Below are 23,234 nucleotides of genomic sequence, written 5' to 3' on the forward strand. Positions count from 1 at the left end.
TATTATATATAATATATATATTATATATATATATTATATATTATATATATATTATATATAGTATATATATTTTATATATATATATATAATATATATACATATATATATATATATATATATATATATATATATATATATGAGGTATGTAGAGAAGGAAAAATTCTTAGTTCTTGGCTTGGGCCCCTATAACAAAAGACATTAATAAGAGAAAAGCATGCAAACTTACTTAATATATGTTATATGTATATTACAGATATATAATTTCTTCATAAGGAAATGAAGACTTAAAGAAGTAATTAAACCTGAGGGATTTGATGAGGTGTGGAGAGTCCTGGAAAAATGAGATGGGACAAGAAAAAGCATAAGCAAGTGTCATGAGCTGGAGGACAGCAAGGCCTGGGCATTGCAGATTCCCTGTGTCCTTGGAGATAGGATGCTCTGTCCCCCACATATAGGGAGGGCCCCTCCCACTTGAGGGTCTATGACCTGCTTCAGGGGGCAGGCAGGGAGTCCTGCCTGCACCTGCGGTTTCTCAAATTCCTCCAGCTTAAAATATGTGTGGTGCTATATTTTGGGGTAGCATGTTCTGAACCTCATCAGGTACATGATGTAGTGGTTGGTGGTAAGAGCTATGGAAAAAGATAACATTGGGGCCAGGAGATGTCTATTTCACATAACATCCTGTGTGTCCTCAAGTTGGGTCAAGCAATATTATGACAAGTGCCTTATCTACGTCTTTGCATTTTGTCCTCTCCAAAGCTCATTGAGGAAATACACTTTTTGTCCACCATGAGTGGAGTCTTAGGCTCTGGAGATCACACAGTTTCTAAGGGCTCCACTCGAGTCTGGGTTTAGTGATCCCAGAGCCGGGTTCTCTGAGACACCCAGATAGACGGGCCTGCTGTAATTTCACAGGAGGAGGTAGGTGGGGCTTCAAGGCCCAGGGATGCTCCCAGCTAAGCGCATCTCTGTAACCCAGTTAATGTAAATGAATAGAAACTGTCTACCTGATTTCCTAACACTTTCCCAAGGAAGTGTGATTATTTCCTTTCAAAGGAAAAGGAAACTGGCAGGTGATTTTCTGGGGTCGGGGGGGCAATTTGATAGAATACGATGACTGTGGACTTCATCACATTAGAAAAGATGTAGGTTTAGTTTAACTAAAAACGGATTCCTTTCTTTGGTCATTTGCTTTGGCAACTTAAAAAAAAAAAAGAAAGAAAGAAAGAAAGAAACGTTTCCTTTCTTTCTTTCAATTGTTTATTACGGGAAGCCAGAATGTCAGCAGACTCCGTAAGTGAGGCAGTTTGGGAGGTGGGGGAGGGGAGTCCTGGGGAGAAGTATATGTGCTTATTTTCTTCAGAAAGAGTGTTCTTCATCTTCTGAATATATCTTCTCATTTAATCATATCCATTATTTTTCAAAACACACCACTTGTTTGGCTGACTTATTTTTGCTGTTTCATTTGCCGTCTACATTGGTAACATACAGAGTTCAATGGCAGGAGCCATGAATTAACTTGATTCACTTTTTGAAGGGTTGGAATTTTTCAGACTGCTTCAACACTTGTTCAATGATAGTATGAGCTATGACTAGGCATAATCTCTCATTTTCAAGGTATGTAGACAGTCTGTTTTCATGTTGTGATTTTGAATGATAATTTAAAAGAGGTTGGGCCAGGCGCAGTGGCTCACACCAGTAATCCCATCATTTTGGGAGGCTGAGGCGGGAGGATCACTTGAGGTCAGGAGTTTGAGACCAGCCTGGTCAACATGATGAAACCCCATTTCTACTAAAAATACAAAAATTAGCCAGGCATGGTGGCACACACCTGTAATCTCAGCTACTTTGGAGGCTGAGGCAGGAGAATCACTTGAATCTGAGCGGCTGAGGTTGCAGTGAGCTGAGATCATGTCAATACATGCCAGCCTGGGTGGCGGAGTGAGACACTGTCTCATAAATAAATAAATAAATAAGTAAAATAAGAATAAAAGAGGTTGGAAGGAACTGACTTCAGAATTCTTACTTTATCTGAGGAAACAGTTTGGTGAGGAACAGGTTGAGTTTGGAAATTTAAGAAGCAGGTTGAGGGAAGCTTTCCATCCAGAGGCAGAGCTTGGAATCAGCTCATACATGTCATTGCGGGAGTTTTTGGAATCTGTTCATTTCCAGTCCCTGATCACATGCAGTGGTCACCTAACTCACCGTGTCACCGTGTTTTCTAAGTTAATCACATTCAGTTTCTCTTTGTATCTAGTAGCAGTTCTTTTAAGAAGAATTTTAACGTTGCCCAAAATGAGATGTTTAGGGCGTAGGGCATGTTAAATATTCCATTGCACTGATTTGCCTTTCTGTGAGTGATGGAGAGGCTCCTCTGTGGTCTTTCTGCCGGACATAGGCTGTCGATTTTGAAGGTGACCAAGTAGCAGGAACCAGTTCGTTGGCCAGGTAAATTACCTACTGAATTTCACTTTGGTTTGTTTCTGTTGGTGACTTGCCTGGGTTATTGTGCACCTGTCTGTTTACCACCGTCCTCTCTCCTTTGGGAAGCTCTCCGGACACCCCGCCGGCCTTGCCCTCACCATCTGTTTTCTTTGTGTTTTGCACAGTGCCTTCTCCCAGTGCCTTGCTCGTAGACAACCCCACACCTTTCGGAAATGCAAAGGAAGTGATTGCGATCAAGGACTATTGCCCCACCAACTTCACCACACTGAAGTTCTCCAAGGGCGACCATCTCTACGTCTTGGACACATCTGGCGGTGAGTGGTGGTACGCACACAACACCACCGAAATGGGCTACATCCCCTCCTCCTATGTGCAGCCCTTGAACTACCGGAACTCAACACTGAGTGACAGCGGTATGATTGATAATCTTCCAGACAGCCCAGACGAGGTAGCCAAGGAGCTGGAGCTGCTCGGGGGATGGACAGATGACAAAAAAGTACCAGGCAGAATGTACAGTAATAACCCTTTCTGGAATGGGGTCCAGACCAATCCATTTCTGAATGGGAACGTGCCCGTCATGCCCAGCCTGGATGAGCTGAATCCCAAAAGTACTGTGGATTTGCTCCTTTTTGACGCAGGTACATCCTCCTTCACCGAATCCAGCTCAGCCACCACGAATAGCACTGGCAACATCTTCGATGAGCTTCCAGTCACAAACGGACTCCACGCAGAGCCGCCGGTCAGGCGGGACAACCCCTTCTTCAGAAGCAAGCGCTCCTACAGTCTCTCGGAACTCTCCGTCCTCCAAGCCAAGTCCGATGCTCCCACATCGTCGAGTTTCTTCACCGGCTTGAAATCACCTGCCCCCGAGCAATTTCAGAGCCGGGAGGATTTTCGAACTGCCTGGCTAAACCACAGGAAGCTGGCCCGGTCTTGCCACGACCTGGACTTGCTTGGCCAAAGCCCTGGTTGGGGCCAGACCCAAGCCGTGGAGACAAACATCGTGTGCAAGCTGGATAGCTCCGGGGGTGCTGTCCAGCTTCCTGACACCAGCATCAGCATCCACGTGCCCGAGGGCCACGTCGCCCCTGGGGAGACCCAGCAGATCTCCATGAAAGCCCTGCTGGACCCCCCGCTGGAGCTCAACAGTGACAGGTCCTGCAGCATCAGCCCTGTGCTGGAGGTCAAGCTGAGCAACCTGGAGGTGAAAACCTCTATCATCTTGGAGATGAAAGTGTCAGCCGAGATAAAAAATGACCTTTTTAGCAAAAGCACAGTGGGCCTCCAGTGCCTGAGGAGCGACTCGAAGGAAGGGCCATATGTCTCCGTCCCGCTCAACTGCAGCTGTGGGGACACGGTCCAGGCACAGCTGCACAACCTGGAGCCCTGTATGTACGTGGCTGTCGTGGCCCATGGCCCAAGCATCCTCTACCCTTCCACCGTGTGGGACTTCATCAATAAAAAAGTCACAGTGGGTCTCTACGGCCCTAAACACATCCACCCATCCTTCAAGACGGTAGTGACCATTTTTGGGCATGACTGTGCCCCAAAGACGCTCCTGGTCAGCGAGGTCACACGCCAGGCACCCAACCCTGCCCCGGTGGCCCTGCAGCTGTGGGGGAAGCACCAGTTCGTTTTGTCCAGGCCCCAGGATCTCAAGGTCTGTATGTTTTCCAATATGACGAATTACGAGGTCAAAGCCAGCGAGCAGGCCAAAGTGGTGCGAGGATTCCAGCTGAAGCTGGGCAAGGTGAGCCGCCTGATCTTCCCCATCACCTCCCAGAACCCCAACGAGCTCTCTGACTTCACGCTGCGGGTTCAGGTGAAGGACGACCAGGAGGCCATCCTCACCCAGTTTTGTGTCCAGACTCCTCAGCCACCCCCTAAAAGTGCCATCAAGCCTTCCGGGCAAAGGAGGTTTCTCAAGAAGAACGAAGTCGGGAAAATCATCCTGTCCCCGTTTGCCACCACTACAAAGTACCCGACTTTCCAGGACCGCCCGGTGTCCAGCCTCAAGTTTGGTAAGTTGCTCAAGACTGTGGTGCGGCAGAACAAGAACCACTACCTGCTGGAGTACAAGAAGGGCGACGGGATCGCCCTGCTCAGCGAGGAGCGGGTCAGGCTCCGGGGCCAGCTGTGGACCAAGGAGTGGTACATCGGCTACTACCAGGGCAGGGTGGGCCTCGTGCACACCAAGAACGTGCTGGTGGTCGGCAGGGCCCGGCCCAGCCTGTGCTCGGGCCCCGAGCTGAGCACCTCGGTGCTGCTGGAGCAGATCCTGCGGCCCTGCAAATTCCTCACGTACATCTATGCCTCCGTGAGGACCCTGCTCATGGAGAACATCAGCAGCTGGCGCTCCTTCGCTGACGCCCTGGGCTACGTGAACCTGCCGCTCACCTTTTTCTGCCGGGCAGAGCTGGATAGTGAGCCCGAGCGGGTGGCGTCCGTCCTAGAAAAGCTGAAGGAGGACTGTAACAACACTGAGAACAAAGAACGGAAGTCCTTCCAGAAGGAGCTTGTGATGGTGAGTGCTCAGCAGGTGCCTGGGCGTTCAGGGGTGCTGCTCAGCAAAGCCTTTCCGCCTTCCCAGTGCACATGGGCGTGGGCCGTGGTGTCGTAAGTCACCAGGACAGTGTCTGTGGCTGATGTCCCGCTGCCTGAGATAGGTGCGGCTCAGCACAGCCTTTCGCCTTCCCAATATGCGTGGGCGTGGGCCGTGGTGTTGTAAGTCACCAGGACAGTGTCTGTGGCTGATGTCCCGCTGCCTGAGATAGGTGCGGCTCAGCACAGCCTTTCGCCTTCCCAATATGCGTGGGCGTGGGCCGTGGTGTTGTAAGTCACCAGGACAGTGTCTGTGGCTGATGTCCCGCTGCCTGAGATAGGTGCGGCTCAGCACAGCCTTTCGCCTTCCCAATATGCGTGGGCGTGGGCCGTGGTGTTGTAAGTCACCAGGACAGTGTCTGTGGCTGATGTCCCGCTGCCTGAGATAGGTGCGGCTCAGCACAGCCTTTCGCCTTCCCAATATGCGTGGGCGTGGGCCGTGGTGTTGTAAGTCACCAGGACAGTGTCTGTGGCTGATGTCCCGCTGCCTGGGATATACGTGTGGGGCTTGAAGTGTGCTTGAAGTGGAGATGGGGTTTACGGGGGATCCTGGGGGGCCCCAGACAACCCAAGGACCCTGCAAAGAAGAGCATTCCAGTTACTTTTCCCACCGAATCTGTGAGCTCCAAGAGGGTCCCAGAATGGACCAGATGCGGGTGGGGGCAGAAGGCGGCCTGTGCTCTCGCCATTCAGTTTAGATCTCTTGGGAGCAGATGTGGTTCGTTAGATTCCCAACAGGGTCTCTGACTCCAGAGTCCCACGAACCGCTGCCCCAAAGCCTGTGTTCATTGTAATGTGAGTTTTTCTTGCCTTTGCTTCCTTGAAGCTTCTAACATCTCTGTATTGTTTCCACTTCCCCCTCTGTGTTGGTTTGAGTTGGGGCGAGGACAGCATTTGTTTTGCCAGCACAACCGTGAACTGGAATCCAAAGAAATAAAAGGGGGAAGTAAGCATCAGACTGTGGGTTACGCCCTGGCCCACGAGCCAACCGGGGAGCATTTGCTCAACGCTTTCTTAGCACTGCTCCCCGCAGGCAGCCCCACCGTCAGCAGAGCTGGGTCCTGGCGGTTACCTTGGCTAGGCTTAGCCATATCCGTGTCCTGGCATCCCCAGGGGTGTTTGTGGTGGAGAGTCCCTGTGGACTTCTCCCTGTGATAGAACGGAGTCCACCCCTATCCTCCGGAGAGGGGCGCATTGCTGGTGTTCATTCCTGTGGGAAAACCCTGTGACCTTGGCGTGTGCCGCTCTTCCTCGTTCCTCTGAGCCCGCAGGCTTTCTTGCATCCTAGCTTCTGAGAGGCGTGCTTCTTGGTGCCCGGCCTTTCTGCCACCTCCCCGGCTCCCCTGGATTGAGCCCTGTTTGTCTGGGAGAGCCCAGAGTGTCCTGTAGACACAGGTGTGCAGGCAAGGGTCACATGTGGCACATACCCGGCTCGGCTGCCCATGTTGAGCCAGGAGACAGAAGGGACGCAGCCCGGCAGGAGTGGGGCAGGAGTCGGGTGAGACCCTCTCTGGGTGGCCTGCAGTCGTGTGCAGTGCCAGAAGCATGGAGCCACGAGATTGCCCAGGGGAGGGAGATGGAACTGGAAGCGGCCGTCAGGGGGGCCACCTTGGCAACCAGGAAATCACTGCACTTGGGTGGGGAGGAAGCGAACAAACGCAGCAGGGAAGCCTCCGGGCCCCCATGTGGGGTCACCTGCAGGGAGGGGATGGCCTGCGTCCCTCCCATCAGCCATCACCCATGTGTGATTCAGAGCACACCTCCTGGCTCTCCAGAACCTGGTGCCGGGCCGTGGCCTGGTCTCCTCACGGGTGCACCCAGCACAGTGGCAGACAAAGCGCCTCCATCCCGTGAGAGCCTCTGTGCGGGCGGCCCCGAGACCACAGCCGTGGCTGTGCATGCTGTCGTGGAACCTGACAGCATTGCTGAGCCCAGGACACTCACCTCGACGTTGCACCAGAGGTGGAAAAATGACACAACCAGGAGTACCACACCAGCTGTGGAAAATAACCGCCGAGTAGGTGGCTTTTACACTCATTTTCCTGCTTTTTTATCTTTTTCCAAAAGACATAAATGATCAAACTCTCTCAATTCGATTGGTGAGCATCTCTGGGAGGGGATTTTTTGGTGGGCCTCCCTGTCCGCTCCAGGGAGGGGTGTGTCCTCTGTGCCCGAGTCCTTCCGCTACCCAGAAAGGAGGAAGTGAAACTTGCCCTTGGCCAGGTCGGCTCCCTGAGGCAAGGTTAGATTTTGTGGTGATAAAGTGAAACTGGTTTTGCAGTGTCCCCACCCGCCCCCCACACCTGTGTCAGTCATCATCTTGGCCAAACTTATAGAAACCACAGACGGATTTCTCCCAGGTCGTTTATTAGGAGACCCTGAAAACTGGCTGTTCTATTCCGCTTGTCATCACAGGGCTGCCACGATTTCTGCGGCCTCTGCCACCGCTTTACCTGCCCCTCCCAGAGAGTCACAGCCAGGCCACCCCCTGCCTCTCATTTTTAGCATAGCTTTCGGTGTCCTTGTTCTGATGCCTTGGGTTGGAAACAGTGTTTAAATGATGGGGAAAATGTGAGAGTTTGAGACAGTCAGTGTGCAGGGAGATGGGAAGGAAAAAGGAGTCAAATGAGACCTGGGTTGTTCCTCTCTCCACTGCCTTTAGAACGGGGTCAGCCTTTGCCCCTGCCCCACAAAGTCGTGTAAGATCTGGCCCTACCCATCCCAACCCTGGGGGCCACTGTGCTCTGTGCACCCCTGCCCTGAACACACCCAGCTCGCCCGGCCTCCAGCTCCTGCAGATGCTATGCTGTTCCTCTTCCTGGAGCTCCCTTTCCCAGACCTCCTCATCTCCCTCAGCTGCCAGCTCAAATGCCGTCTCTCCAGGACGTCCTTCTCTGCAGCCCCGCGCACTCCATCATCCTCTGTCTCCATGGTGTTTCTTGAATCAGAAGCGGTTTGTTTTGGCCAGGCATGGAGGTTCACACCTGTAATACCAGCACTTTGGGAGGCTGAGACAGGAGAATCGCTTGAGCCCGGGAATTCAAGACCAGCCTGAGCAACATAGTGAGGCTTCATCTCTCCAATTTTTTTTTTTTAAATCAGCCAGGTGTGTTGGTGTGCACCTGTAGTCCCAGCTACTTGGGAGGCTGAGGTGGGAGGATCACTTGAGCCCAGGAGGTCGAGGCTACACTGAGCTATGATCGCAGCACTGCACTCCAGCCTGGACAACAGAGTGAAACCCTGTCTTGAAAATAAAGGAAGAGAAGAAAAGAAACAAGTTTGTTTATGTTCTTGTGCACTTGTTTCTCATTATTACTCTAACTGAACATAGGTCCCATGAGAGGAAGGGCCCCGGCACATAAGAATCACTGAGGTACTAGATGGATAAGTGATTGAATGAATGAATGATGGATGAATGAATGAATGATGAATGAATGAATGAATGAATGCAGGCCTTGGGCTGGGCTAAGAATCCAAGCGGGAGGCATTCTCACGTGGCCATACCATGCTTCTGTTCTGTGGTTCCATTTCCTCTTTCCATTCTTTTTGTGCCTGTTTTTGATAGAGTCCGTGTGTGAGGCATCCCCGTACCTCTGCCTGCCCCTTCCCAGCAGCATGGCTGTGGCTGCACTCAGAGCACCCCTCTGTCCTGGCCACTTCTCTCCCACCAGAGCCTCTGTCCGTGATGGTGTCAGCTGAAGAATGACAAGGTTTGTTCATTTGGAAAGGAGAGCCTCATTCCTCATAAAGGGTTGCAGCCTGTGGGTGGCTATTCTGACAGGTTGGGAAGCAGAGCCTCCTGCCAGAAGCCAAAAACAGACACTTCAAGGGAGGGGCAAAGGCAACAAGAATTTATGGATATTGGTGGCCAAATATACATATTCAATAAGCCGTAGGGGGAGTCATGAGTATTTATGAAAGGAGAAATGTGCACATTCACATTTAAGCCTTGTGCTCCTTCAGGGGTCCCATGTACAAAAAATGGTGGCAGTGGCATGATTCAAGGGTAGGGTTTTCTTTCAGCCCCCTGATGCGTCAGAGGCGAAGCAGGGGACATGAAACCCTCGCTGTGCATCCTCTGTAGACTGGCCAGAAACACTGCGTGGTCGGTGGGCTCCCGTCAGGCAAAGAGGAGGGGCAGCGTCTGGCAGTGGTAGAGGCCTTTGAAAGGGAACCCAGCTTTTTAAGAATCAGAAAAGTCATTCAGCAGCGCCCTTTTGATGCAAGAGACTATTCCCAATTCTCGGGATACTGTCAGCACTCGGCACATGGTCTCTGTTATGGTGGGGAAGGAAGGGGAGTCAGCTGGAGATAGCCGTGGGCAGTGGCCATCAGCCATGGGAGCAGAAGCAGCCCACGGTGGCCTCAGGCCCAGGGAGAACTTCCTAAGGGGCCAGAGTGAGCTGTCACAACTGGTCCTGGATCCACCATAAGAACGAAGCCGTGGGGTGTGGTGACCTGGAGCCGTCGGTGATGGCTGTAGCAGGGGCGTTTTGGTCAAGTTGCGGGAGGTAGGGAAATAGGCGTGTCGGGCTCTGTAGAGAAGTTTCTATGAGAAAGGGAAGGAGTTGCTGTGGGATGCAAAGCAAGGGAGGGTGGTTGTTTTGGGAGTGGAGTGGGGGCCGGAATAAACCCAAAGAGACTTGAAAACTAACAGAAATAAGGAAGCTAGCAAGTGCATGGGGCGCATTGGGGCGGGAAAGACTGGTGTGGTGTGAAGGGACTCTCTGTGGATTGGGAGAAGACCCACTTTAACCTCCAGAAGAGGAGGAGTTGATGGACAGTGTGCATTGGATGGGGTCCTGAGGGATTCCTCCCAGGCAGCCCCAAAGCCAGAGCCTGTGGCTGTTAATGTGGGAGAGGGAAGGAGGATGGGCCCATTGTCCAGATGCCATGTGCAGAAGGCTTCCCCTCGAGTTTTGGGGCATGTTGGGAAGGAAGCAGGATGGAATAAACATGCAGCAAAAAAGCCTAAATTGTATTTCTTTGTACTTTATAAGAGTATTTTCCCCCGCCCCTTTTTTGAGAAAAGGTCTCGCTCTGTCTCCTAGGCGGGAGTGCAGTGGTGTGATCACAGCTCACTGCAGCCTCGAACTCCTGGGCTCAAGCAGTCCTCCCACCTCAGCCTCCCAAGTAGCTGGGACTACAAGCAGGTGCCACCACACCCAGCTAATTTTTTTTTTTTTTTGTCTGTAGTAGAGACAAGGTTTGATTGTGTTGCCCAGGCCGGTGTGGAACTCATTGAGCTCAAGCTATCCTCCCACCTCAGCCTACCAAAATGCTGGTATTATAGGGGTGAGCCACCATGGCTGGACAAGAATATCTCTTGAAGCAAGTTCCCAGACTCTGGCCGCCAGGCCCGCTATTCCTGTCAATGGCGTTTTGTTGGAACTCAGCCACACCCATTCCCATCTGCATCGTCTGTGGCTTTCAGGCTTCGTGTGTCCCACAAAGGCAAAAGTACTATCTGTCCCTTTATAAAGTTCAGTCACCCTGACTGAAATCATGGTGTACTCACTGTAACAAAATTCCAGTTGAAACCAGGGTAGTGCAGCAGTCCATCGAGTGTTTCCTGGTGTACCTGTGTGCCCATAAAAAGAGGAAGCTGCAAGGATCAAGTTCATAGAGCTAGAGCCTCCTGCTGTGAAATTTTTCTATTGCTAAGAATTGGTTGGCACCCAAAATTTGTCCTTTAAAAATATGCATCAGTTATGCCTTGTTGATGGTGTGGGTGGTTTGTAACAAACTAAACCAGGGCTGGGCTCAGTAAAAGTTGTGTAAGTGAGTGAGGGAGAGATGCCTTCATTCTTGGTGTTGGAAGTGCCGACCTCTCCTTTCATCTGGGATCCATGGAAATGGGACCTTGGCTGCCCCTGGATGGAGTCCAGGCGCTCTCCTTCCCAGGGGCCAGAGAACACCTGTGTTTCCCAGGACCTTGGGGACCTGTGCCCAGTTCCCCTGGGGAGAGAGCGGTTTTGATCACTCGCACCAGGAATGACTCGAGTCAGAAGCAGGTGACTTTGACCTGTTCTGTTACCTAGAAAATGAGGCCACTTTGGAGCCAGGCAGCTGTGCACACAGCCAGATTAGCTTGGTGTGTGCTGAGTAGCCACGAAAGAGCTGAGTTGGGGACATTGAGTGACTTCGTGTCAAACCCTGTGGTGGTCCAGCACACCTTCCCAGGACCACAGACGAGGCTGCCACCACAGCAAGAAAATTAGGATCTGACAGCCTACCAGCTAACTACACACCCTCCTGACACGTGAATACACACGTGTATGCTTTTATCTTCTGAAACAAATCTAGTCAACATTTAATTTTTTAAAACAATTTGTTTTGAATATATCCAAATTCAAATAGAAACAGACCTTCTTCTGAAATATATAAATAGTTGATATGAAGCATAATCCAGACCGGTATTACATTTGGTTCAATTCCCAATTCCATGTGGGGCTCATGGAATTGGGAAGGCCGCTGGCCGAGTGCTGAGAAGTTTGCATATTTGCCTCCACGCCTGTCACTTCCAGCTGTGGGACCCGGGACAAGCCTGGGGTCTGCAGGCTTCCTGTGCTTATCTGTAGAACAGATGCCTTGCGGCCCACACAGCAGGGAGGACCTGGGGTTGGGTGCCCAGAGGCAGCTCTGGCTCTGGCATTTCTCGGTGTGAAACCCACTTCCCCTCTCTCAGCTTCTTCTGTAAAGTGGGTTGAACTCAGCCTCTGCTTCATGGGGGGCTCTGGGGAGCGGAGGAGCTGAGTGTCTGGCTCACAGCAAGCCCTGGGTTTCTTTTTTTTTCTTTTCTTTTTTTTGAGACGGAGTCTCGCTCTGTCCCCTAGGCTGGAGTGCAGTGGCGCGATCTCAGCTCACTACAAGCTCCGCCTCCCGGGTTCACGCCATTCTCCTGCCTCAGCCTCCTGAGTAGCTGGGACTACAGGTGCCCGCCACCACACCCGGCTAATTTTTTTTGTACTTTTAGTAGAGACAGGGTTTCACTGTGTTAGCCAGGATGGTCTCGATCTCCTGACCTCGTGATCCACCTGCCTCAGCCTCCCAAAGTGCTGGGATTACAGGCGTGAGCCACCGCTCCTGGCCTAGCCCTGGGTTTCTAGTAGCTTCTACAAAAACAAACGGCCACCAGGTCCTCAAACCCCCTTCTGGCCAGCCTCGTTGGTAGCCAGCTGTCAGCCTCTCATATCTAGGGAGGCATCAGAATGATCTGTCGCTCCTGGTTCTTTTTAAATTCCATGGATTGAGATGCTGGGGGCCCACCTAGAAGGATCGTGAGTCACCTACTCTGGCTAATGCATGCCACAAGTCGCCAAAAAGGTCACCTTTTTGTATTGTTAGACTCCCCCCAGGTAAACATAAAGTGTACATTAGAATGCTCAGTCTAAAACAGCTGGGCTCGCTTTGAAGTAAGCAGCCCAGCCGACCGCATGAGCACTAGCAAGACGACCCTGCTATCGGCACAAAATAGTTGGCCAAAGAGCGCCGGTACCAGCGGTGTGGTTGGCGGGGGTGGGGGGTTGTTTGTTTTTTAGCACACTTTGGAGTCCTAAAATGACAACCTCAGGTGCTGAAACAGAGCGTAGAGAGAAAGAACGCCAGGACTGGTGACTTTCCTCTTCTCTTAGCAACTCGCCTGTCCAGGGGCTCACGGGAGCCTCAGAAACCGTCTCTGGGCTGCCTCAGGCCACTGTGCCCTGGAAGCCAAGCCTTTCCCATTGTTGGATGAGAGAAAGCTTTAAGGGTGGGGGTGAGCTGTGCCTTCTATGGCAGAGGAGACTCAGACAAGAATCAGACCCAGCATGCGGCTCTCCTGCCTTCCTGGTGACGTCATCCTGACTGGCTCAGAGCCACACGCTAACCATGTGTGGCCTCATTTATAATTAGGATGGCGCCAGAGTCGCTTGCATGACACCCAGTGGCAGTCATGTGACTTGGCACAGTGTACAGGACTAGCAGGCCTGCTGTCTTGTGCTAGCCAATTTGATTTGTTTCTTTAAACCAGAAGTGTGAGTTTGACCCCAGCCTGGGGTCCCCCAGATATATTAGCCATATGTTCAATGCCTGTCCCATCCAGCCCCCGTTTTTAGGAGGGAATTGAGTCCCAAGGCGGCCACGTGGTTGTTCCAGCCTCAGCTGGGACTTCACTGTCCCAGCAGGGCTGTCTGTCCTATTACCTCCCCTCTGACTTCCTCTGTGGTTAGTAATCCCTGTCCTAAAGACACAGTAGAAAGTTCTTGCAGCTTTGACGTGGGAGCAGTCCCACCAATTGTGGAAACCGTTTTCTCATGTTGCACAGTCCTGGGGGAGGTCTGTGCATCTCCTGGTCACCGTGGTTCTTGGTGGTACACCCTGTCTCTGACCAGGGCCTCTTCTGTTCTCTGTCTTCTTCTCCCTGGGTGGTCCCTGCCTGAGTCCCCCAGCCTTCTACCCGCGGTGCTCTCTAACTGGCCAATGTCAGCACCGCACACTCAGCAGGTCCAGCTCGCCCTCCATCCGTCTCGGCCTCAGGCTATGGTGTCTATTTGGTGAAATGCATTCGTTTCTCTCTGGTGTCCCCAGAGAGTGGGAGTGGTGACAACTCTAATCCATATTCACCCTGTCTGTTAGCTTCCTGGGGCTGCCAAGACAAATGACCACAAACCAAGGGACATCAAACAACAGACACCTGTCCTGTCACCATTCAGGAGGCCACAGGTCTCAGTCAGGGGTCCCAGGGTGGCCTCCGTCTGGAAGCAGTGGGGGAGAAGGGGTTGCAGGCCTGCCTCTCCTAAGCCCCACTGGCTCAACCCTCCTTCTTTTCCTTGGCTTGTTGCCGCATCTGTCCCGTCTCTGCCTCCGTCTTCACACGGCCTTCTTCTCTCTGCCTCTCTGTCTGCTTTCTCTTCTTATGAAGACGCCAGTCCTTGGTGACTTCCTCTAATCCAGAGGGACCTCATCTTAATTCTATCTGCAAAGACCCCATTTTCAAGTAAGGTCACGTTCTGAGGTTCTGGGTGGATGTGGGCTTTGGAGGGAGACACTGGTGAACCTGGCACGCTCTGCACATCATCTCTTTTCTCCCGTGAATCCTGGCAGTGATCGATTTCAGGGGACATTTGGTAGTAGGCCAGGGAACATGGAGAATAGAGAGCCCATGGCCATTCCTGCGCCGTCTGCTGGAATTCTGCGGGGAGCAGAGCCTGCCCCACTCCCTACACTGTCTCACGCTGTGTGCCTCTTCCTCTGCAGGCCCTACTGAAGATGGACTGCCAGGGCCTGGTGGTCAGACTCATCCAGGACTTTGTGCTCCTGACCACGGCTGTAGAGGTGGCCCAGCGCTGGCGGGAGCTGGCTGAGAAGCTGGCCAAGGTCTCCAAGCAGCAGATGGACGCCTACGAGTCTCCCCACCGGGACAGGAACGGGGTTGTGGACAGCGAGGTGAGCAGCGGCTGAGCTTCGAGCTCACCGAGCCCCTCTGTCCCTGGGTTCCGTGGACCCATGCAGTGCAGCCATAAAAAGTCTTGCCTCGCGGCATTTCTGTGAGGGTGCAACAGGTGGAAATGTGCACGCATGTGCCCAGCACTGGGTGTGCCTCACTGAGTGGGAGCCATCCTCCGGATTGGTTGTCGTGAGCCCTGGCTTTAGGATGTCAAGGCTGTTCCACACGACATGGGAAGGACAAACAGAACTGCCTGTCCCTTGTTCATTTTGATCTTAAATTACCATCCGTAGGGTTGAATAATGCAATAACACATACACAGAGGACTTTGTGAGCCGCTCTGGACTGGAGTGATACCTGGTATGTTACATAACTTGGGCCAAAGCCGGTGTGGCCGGGCTCTTGCTCAGAGGTCCTTTGTGTTCTCGCATGTTTGTGGAGGGCACCCTAGTAAGCTTCCTGGAAGACGGTTCAGGCTTGCAAGATCCAGGAAGCAGGAAGTCCCAAGGACAAAGCTGTCTTTTATGAATGGGATGAATTTCCAAACAAATGGCACAGAGAGAAAGTGCCATAAAGATTGTAAGGAAAGAGAAGTCCTTTCTGTTTATTCATTTGTTGCGCACCTACTCTTGCACAAAGCCCTGCTTTTCCCTCTGGAATGTGCTGACCCTGGCCCCGAGATGGTTCCACTGTTTCTTCTGTGGGCTTGTCTCACTCGTGAAAGAGTGTCCCAAATAGTGACTACTGAAGCTGCACCAAGTAATAGGAACAAATCTCGTTCTGTCTCCTAATCTTTCTTCCTCTCTCCCTCCTTTTGTTTTTTACAACTCCACCTCCCAGGCCATGTGGAAGCCTGCGTATGACTTCTTACTCACCTGGAGCCATCAGATCGGGGACAGCTACCGGGATGTCATCCAGGAGCTGCACCTGGGCCTGGACAAGATGAAAAACCCCATCACCAAGCGCTGGAAGCACCTCACTGGGACTCTGATCTTGGTGAACTCCCTGGACGTTCTGAGAGCAGCCGCCTTCAGCCCTGCGGACCAGGACGACTTCGTGATTTGAATGGGTCCCCTCCCCTCCTGCTGCTCTGGAGTGCAAGCCCTCTTCTGCCCTGCGTGCCCTGCTGTCACCGCGGAGCTGAAGAGGGAGGAAGGGGCGGCTGCTCAGACAGATTTAGGGCCCGCCAGCTAGGCTACACCCATCATGCGCCGCCCTCCTCCATCGAGGGAGAGGCCTGAAGGGACTGCCTACTGCAGCTCGTTGCCAATCACATAGCTTTCTATTTGTTAAGTATAAATTTAAATTTAAAATCACTTTTTTAACGAATGGGGGGAAGGGATCTATGAGAAAGGTGGTATCTAATTTTTTTATGGACCATAAAGGTTTAAAAGAAAATAGGGGCACAGGCTGTTGAGGTTTTTATGTTGTTATAGACCTTTTTAAATTATGTTAGAGATGTATATAGGTATTTAAAGGTCACTGGGAGCGTTTCTGATTCCCGGCCACACTTTGCATTTCAACACTCAGCCCGGAAAGATGCTCGTTCGGTTGTTGGACCTCTTTCACTCCCTGCGTGTAAGAAGGTGAATCACGTGGGAAAAAGTGGCTTTTCAGTAAACGGGTACAGCTCATTCTTTCTGAGAAGGCCCCAGGTCCTGCTCCCTCCTCGGATTTGATTGTCTTCCGTGCTTTGCCTCACTCGTAGTAAATGACCATCCATAGAATATGTGAATCTTTGGTGAGCTTCAGTGGGCAGAGTGAAGTCCCGCATTAGCATTTAGGTGCCCTGAGCTGTTTCTGCCAATAGATTAGAAAGCAGCCATGAGTTGACAGTCTTTAGGGCCCCTGCCAGTGTGCAATTAGTCATTGACAAGAACAATGCCATTTGAGAGTGAGGTGGTCCCTGCTGCTACGAGGCCATTGTACTGTTTTTTCCTTGAGGTCAAAGCAGTGCTTCCCATAGAGTTTGCTGCCTCTTCTGTGGACAGGAAGAAAACTTCATGACCGAATCAGAGCCTTGGTGGCCACTGACTCTCGTGCTTATTGCAGATGCTGTGGTTGGCCTCACAAGCAACGCCTTATGCTGATGTGCAGAGGTGCCAGCTGCCATTTGCCAAACTCTGCATTTCATTTCATCTAAGGCTTAACCCCTCTTCCTTCCTGGTGTACCTGTGTCTCCTCGGAAGGAAGTCATAGTTTAGATGAAACCATTTTTTGTACAATGTAAAGATCATCTGAGCAAGATGAGCATTTTGTAAAAATGAAAATGTGACTCACATAAAATCAGGAACTTGACACAGTGTTGCATTAATAACTTTAGGGTGCAGACATGCTGTGTGAATCTCACAATGCGTCGTAGATGTCGCGTGTTGGAAGGGAGCAGGAGGAAGGACTGATACTGGCAAATCAGTAGAGTGAGGTGATCCTTAGCAACGTGCCAGGACACTTCCTGTGTGCCTGCAGTTGTCAGGGACCATTTGGGATCCCGAATCTCATTCTCTAAAACTGCTTTCTTGAAACATGTTACTTCCTTAGTATAATCAATGTATACTCCCTTACTGGCCTGAAACGTTGTATAGCTACTTATTCAGATACTGAAGACCAACGGACTGAAAAAAAGAACAAACATTAGCTATTTTATGCTGCAAGAACCAGGACACACAATTCGCCAATCATCCCACCATATAACCTTCGATTGTGCTTCTCAACTCCACCCCATAATTTCTCCCAGAGACCATCTATCACCTTTTCCCCAAAGAAGAAACAAAACCAGTTGCACCTTAAACCATGGATATTTTTTCCTCAGGGGCTTTAAATAGTTTCCTATGCAACGTGTCTTGTAGCACAAATAAAATTCTACAAAAGTTGCAGTAAATTTTATTTGGATATTTTAACCTGTTAAGTGTGTGTGTGTTTTCTGTACCCAACCAGACTTTAAATAAAACAAACATGAAACCTAATGTACGTATTTATACATACACCAATGGCTGCCTCCCCAAAATAGTCACCCCTAGATGACAGTAGGACAGCTGGTGTGGCAGGTGTCTATTTTCTTGCTATTCATTTAATTTGCTCTTGAAACACGAGTCACTCAGTCACCACTAACCAAATGGGAATTGGTGTTATACCAGGCACCCAAAGGAAAGCACATCGATGACTTGCTGTTTTCTGGGTCCCATGAATTGGCAACCCCAGTCCCGAAATAGAAAGTTTAGGATGGAGTCATTTCTGTGTGTCAGGTGTCAGCCTTGAAGTGCTGATTGTGGCAAACAAGGGCAGACCGTGCTTTAGGAAGACCGTGTTGTGGGGGAGAAAGGAGTGAAGGACTCCTAATGGAGACCAGCTCCACCTGGAGGTAGGGGGAGGAATGGGGCTAATGGAAATCTTTCTTGGGAACATGACTTTGATGAAAGGCTTGAAGGCTGAGTGGGAGCCAGCTAGACCACCAACAGACCAGCCCTGGGGACCAGTGTGTCGGCAGCATCGACGACACGGTACGTGGGGCAAGGAGAGGCTAAACCCTCCACGTGGCTGGGACTTGTGGAGTGAGCACAAGCCCTCTGTTACCTGGATGCTTTCCACCGCTTGTACCTGTGTTAATTCCACCATGCATCACCTACCAGCTGGGTCCTCATACCCATTTTGCAGTTAAGGACAGGGCTCAATGTGGTCCCATAATTTACACAGCCAATAAGAGAGGCAGGGACCTTAACTCAGGACTGCCGTAACAAAGTGCCCTGCATGGCTAAGGACAACAGAAATGTGTGCTGTCACCGTTTTTGAGGCCAGATGTCTGAAATCAAGGTATCACATGGTCGCTTGTTCTCCATGTCTGTGACTAAATCTCTCTCTAAGGACACCAGTCATAGGATTTAGAGCCCACCCTAATCCATCAAGACCTCATCTTAACTTGATCACACCTATGATGACCCTGTTTCTAAGTAGGGTCACATTCACAGCGGGGTTTAGGACTTGGACACGTCTTTTTGAGAGGCACAATTCACTCACCACCCTGCTCCATGCCTGGCCCTTTGGGCGTAGCCTGCTTGGGAAGAACAGTGCACGAATCAGGTTTAATCTATCTTGGTGCCCTCCGCCCAACACAAAGCAAAGCCAGGGTGGAGGAAGGCAATTCTTAAAAGGAGAAAGCTCTTCTGATGGACTGCCATGTTCCCCCAAGACCCATCCTCTTCCTGAGCCAGCGACTGGGCTGTCTTTCCCCATCTCCCTTGCAGTCAGGTGCGGTCCAGCTAGGAGATGGGAACCAGAATGCTATGGGCCGCCTGCTGTTGAGTCTGGCTCACAGGAACCTTCCAGAAATCCTCCCTTCTTCCAACTGATCAGGAGGAACTCCAAGTCCCTAAAGGTGAGGCAGGGGCAGATAGAAGGACCCCAGATCCCTTAGGGACCCCCAGTAAGCTCTGTTCAGCAAAGTGTCTGTCACACGGTATCTAGAGAGATAAAACTATGATTGGCCACCGAGAAGGTGAGTTAGCTGTTACAGTGGCTGGTGTTGCTTTTAGACCCAGATGATCACTGTAATCCACAAGCTGGCGGGGAATGCAGCTTGTTCTTAACTGGGAAACATCCCTACCACAGCTGGATTATTATTTTTTTAAAATATTATTATTAATTTTATTATTATTCCTATTTTCAGAGAAGGAAACTGAAGCTTAGAACCGTGTTATTCATTGTCGATGGTGCAACCAAGTTAAAGATGCTGTCTTGTTTTTTTTTTTGTTTTTGTTTTTATACTTTAAGTTCTAGGGTACATGTGCACAACGTGCAGGTTTGTTACATATGTATACATGTGCCATGTTGGTGTGCTGCACCCATTAACTTGTCATTTACATTAGGTATATCTCCTAATGCTATCCCTCCCCCCTCCCCCCACTCCACAACAGGCCCCAGTGTGTGATGTTCCCCTTCCTGTGTCCATGTGTTCTCATTGTTCAATTCCCACCTATGAGTGAGAACATGCGATGTTTGGTTTTTTGTCCTTGCAACAGTTTGCTGAGAATGATAGTTTCCAGCTTCATCCATGTCCCTACAAAGGACATGAACTCATCATTTTTTACGGCTGCATAGTATTCCATGGTGTATATGTGCCACATTTTCTTAATCCAGTCTATCATTGTTGGACATTTGGGTTGGTTCCAAGTCTTTGCTATTGTGAATAGTGCTGCAATAAACATACGTGTTCATGTGTCTTTATAGCAGCATGATTTATAATCCTTTGGGTATATACCCAGTAATGGGATGGCTGGGTCAAATGGTATTTCTAGTTCTAGATCCCTGAGGAATCGCCACACTGTCTTCCACAATGCTTGAACTAGTTTACAGTTCCACCAACGGTGTAAAAGTGTTCCTATTTCTCCACATCCTCTCCAGCACCTGTTGTTTCCTGACTTTTTAATGATCACCATTCTAACTGGTGTGAGATGGTCACAGCCAGATTATTTCCAGCAACAAGAACACCCCTTCCACACTATTTTTTCTTGGCCTAAATGTGTTCACAATTGGTCAGTACCAGTCTGAATATAAATGGCTTTTCTCCCTAATACTCCGAGGCCAGGCCAAGCAGTTCAGTTAAACCTCCAGTTTTTCATTGATACTGATTTTGACATTGATGTTGTTGAGAATGATAATTAACATAACATTATGGTATTTGTAGATGTTCTTTAGGACCTCATTCAGGAGAAAAGATTTAGTTAGAAAAGAGTTAGGCTCTGACTTCTCGACGAAAGGAAAATTTTGTCCCTGATTAATTCTTGCCTTGATCTGCACCTGGCCATCTTTCTGTCAAGTCACTTGGGGCATGTGTCAAGTCAGTTATTTTGTAATCCTCCAGCCCCCAGCCCCTCTGAGTATCCATCACCCCACAGTAGTGCCCAAGCTCAGACTCGGTCCTGGGACCTTTCCCCATCAGTGGTCCAGATTCCAGCAACTCATAGGTTTCACAACCATTCCTACTGCCATGACCAGAATTAAGACTTTTTTTTCCTGGATGCTCATCCTCTTTCTTTTTGACCAAGCTACTCCAACACCCTCCCCCTGGTCCTCCCTCCAATTCTGTCCTCCCCTATCCATAGGACAAAGGACTCCTTTCACAGGAGCCCTTCCTGCATCCTTCTGTGTGGTCAACTCTGGGCTCACCCCCTTTGCTATGTCCTCGCACACACGGACTTCCTCCAGCACTCCCTTGACCATCTTTTTGTAAACCTCCCTGTGTTGGTCTAAGCTGTGTCCAGGCTGTGGCACCTTTCCTTCCCCACCTGGCAGAGTCACACACTGAGCTCCTTGAGGACAGTGACCTTGTCTTGGCTCATCTCTGAATCCCAAGAGCCTAGCACAGTCAATACTGGTTTCTTGAAGGAATTGTTCCTATCTCTGCAATAGAAATGCATCTCCAAATAAGATGGCTTTGGCTATTGGACTGAATAGAATGGGCTTCATGCTATGTTTACAACCAATGTAAGAGATGTGCGAAAAGTTGTCCACCAATGAATGCATCAAAACCAGCTTGGATTTTAAGAGGTCAAAGAGGAAGCTTGCAGGGATGGAGCTCAATGAAGTGTATACCAAGAACCATTATATTCCTTAATGAATCATTTTCTGGCATGAGGGAAACATTGTCAGTTTGGTCCATGATTTATGCTGCAATAAAATTTGGCTTTATGTAAAATAGATTGAAATGAGCAACTTAGCTCTTTCTGTGCCATAGGTCAACACCTCTGGCAGTTTGAGAAAGGCTATAAACTCCTCAGTATTATGGAAATACACATAAAAACCCTGAGATCACAGATGAAAGCAATTATGTTTACATACAATTACCAACAATTTTTAGAAATTGTGGTGTAATATATATACTTCTTTATGCATTAAATAACACAATCTAGTAGTTAATCTTACATCCCCCGGAAACTCAAAATAGTGATGAGCATTTAGATACCTGCAAAAGCATTGATGGAAATAAAAATATCAGAGATTTCTATGTTTGGCACATTACGGGAACTCCTAATATTAGAGAGGTTCCTTGCCTAGGTGCATTCTTGAAGGAAGCGCCAATGTTCAGGTTAATGAAAATAAAGATGTAATGTTTTCCCTTTATTAAAGAAAAAAGAGCTTGTCCTAAGGAAACTGAAGTCACCCAGATTTGCTGTACACATTTTTTAAGTGCTTGTATTAGTATTTTCTGCTCCAGGCTAGCAAGAATTGTATTTTTAAAGCTTTGCTTCTCTGATAGAGTTTTCTGCTTCATGAGGGAGAAGGAAAATGTGAAGAAATTAATGGGCTGTGCTTGTGACTTTTTAAGTATCTAGAGTCATCTTTCTTAATTTTCCATTTCAATTGGCTTTTTAAAAAATCTGTGTGCTTATATCATATATATATATATATATATATATTACAACTTTCGATGTAATTTTCATTTTGGGAGGGTGCAGCATACATATTAGTGAGCTACGGGCAGCTTGATGGAGGGTCGACTCACTGCTCGTCAGAGACAGGTCGGCCCATGTCAGTCCTGGGCACACAGAGGGTCCAAGGAACAGCAAGGGAGAAAGAGATGGTTCCTGGGCCTCCAGGAGTTTGTATCCAATGAGGAAGATCAACACACACAAGCAGGCCAGGAGCACTGGGTTCATGCCTGTAATCCCAGCACTTTGGGAGGCAGAGGCAGGCAGACCACTTGAGGTCAGGAGTTCGAGACCAGCCTAGCCAACATGGTGAAACCCCGTCTCTACTAAATACACAAAAACTAGCCAGGCGTGGTGGTGAGTGCCTGTAATCCCAGCTACTCAGGAGGCTGAGACACGAGAATCGCTTGAACCATGGAGGTGGAGGTTGCCACCGTGAGCTGAGATTGCACCACTGTACTCCAGCCTGGGTGACAGAGCAAAAACCCCGTCTCAAAAAAAAAAAAAAAAAAAGAAAGAAAGAAAGAAAAAAAAAAAGACCCAGGAACAAACACCTGAAATTCAAGGGAGATGGCAGCATTGTCATCAGTGGACAGAGAAAGTGCTTGAGGAAGAGGAGAGCGCCTGCTGCTTGATGGAACTTTGGATGCTACTGCGGCTGGGTATGCCAAGGCTGTGAGAAGAGCCTCCCAAGGCAGGTTGGGGTCCTGAGAAGATACAGAAAGGGCAGGGAGAGGTGTTTATTAATTGATAGACACTGATTTTCTATTTGCCAGGCATTGTTCTAGGCCCGGGGTTAGGGTCCCTGTCCCCATGGAGCCCACATGCTAGTGGGGAAATAGGAACAAACTAAATTCATATGATCAGGGAGAGGGAGGTGCTAGGAAGAAAAATCAGTGATGCACTGGCCGGGGCGAGGCTGGAGCAGGGTAGCCTGGAAGGCCTCCCCAGTGAGGTGAAGTCTGGGGAAGAGTGAGCAGCTCAGAGAAGCTGGAGTGTAAGTTGCTTTTAAAAGGGCAAGGGGGGATTAGAGTGGGATGAGCTATGGTTGGATGTGTCTAGAAACACCAGGTGTTAAAAAGTAACGCCCAGTGCAGTGGGATGGAGAGGTGGGTCTTTAAACAGTGATGAGATCAGGAAGGCTGCTGCCTTCGAGAATGCGATTACGGCCCTTAAAAAAAAGACGCTTTGGCCAGGCACGGTGGCTCACACCTATAATCTCAACACTTTGGGAGGCCGAGGCAGGCTGATCATCTGAGGTCAGAAGTTCAAGACCAGCCTGGCCAACATGGTGAAACCCCATCTCTGCTAAAAATACAAAAAATTAGCCAGGCATGGTG

At 49.8% G+C, this 23,234-nt stretch overlaps 1 protein-coding gene across 11 annotated transcripts in view, besides 3 other annotated features; it reads left to right on the forward strand.

Annotated features, from left to right (window-relative positions):
• The window catches only part of SH3BP4 (SH3 domain binding protein 4), a 103,698-nt gene extending 86,262 nt beyond the window's left edge, over positions 1-17,436 (forward strand). For all 11 annotated transcript variants that reach the window (XM_047443849.1, NM_014521.3, NM_001371302.1 and 8 more), the window contains 3 exons: positions 2,610-4,969; positions 14,284-14,472; positions 15,314-17,436. In XM_047443849.1, coding sequence (XP_047299805.1) covers positions 2,610-4,969; positions 14,284-14,472; positions 15,314-15,538 — 2,774 coding nt within the window. In that variant the 3' untranslated portion in view covers positions 15,539-17,436. The remainder of the gene's footprint in view (positions 1-2,609; positions 4,970-14,283; positions 14,473-15,313) is intronic.
• Positions 5,185-5,686: an enhancer, noted in NCBI's record as "OCT4 hESC enhancer chr2:235952107-235952608 (GRCh37/hg19 assembly coordinates)". NCBI's record gives its function as "activates a minimal SCP1, AML or CMV promoter by ChIP-STARR-seq in primed H9 embryonic stem cells {active_cell/tissue: H9 hESC(primed)}" and the evidence as "EXISTENCE:reporter gene assay evidence [ECO:0000049][PMID:30033119]".
• Positions 13,997-14,958: an enhancer, noted in NCBI's record as "H3K4me1 hESC enhancer chr2:235960919-235961880 (GRCh37/hg19 assembly coordinates)". NCBI's record gives its function as "activates a minimal SCP1, AML or CMV promoter by ChIP-STARR-seq in naive H9 embryonic stem cells {active_cell/tissue: H9 hESC(naive)}" and the evidence as "EXISTENCE:reporter gene assay evidence [ECO:0000049][PMID:30033119]".
• Positions 17,587-17,881: a silencer, noted in NCBI's record as "tiled region #15714; K562 Repressive non-DNase unmatched - State 13:Ctcf". NCBI's record gives its function as "represses a minimal TATA promoter and a strong SV40 promoter by Sharpr-MPRA in K562 cells {active_cell/tissue: K562}" and the evidence as "EXISTENCE:reporter gene assay evidence [ECO:0000049][PMID:27701403]".

Source organism: Homo sapiens, chromosome 2 (assembly GCF_000001405.40).
Source record: "Homo sapiens chromosome 2, GRCh38.p14 Primary Assembly".
NCBI lineage: Eukaryota > Metazoa > Chordata > Mammalia > Primates > Hominidae > Homo > Homo sapiens.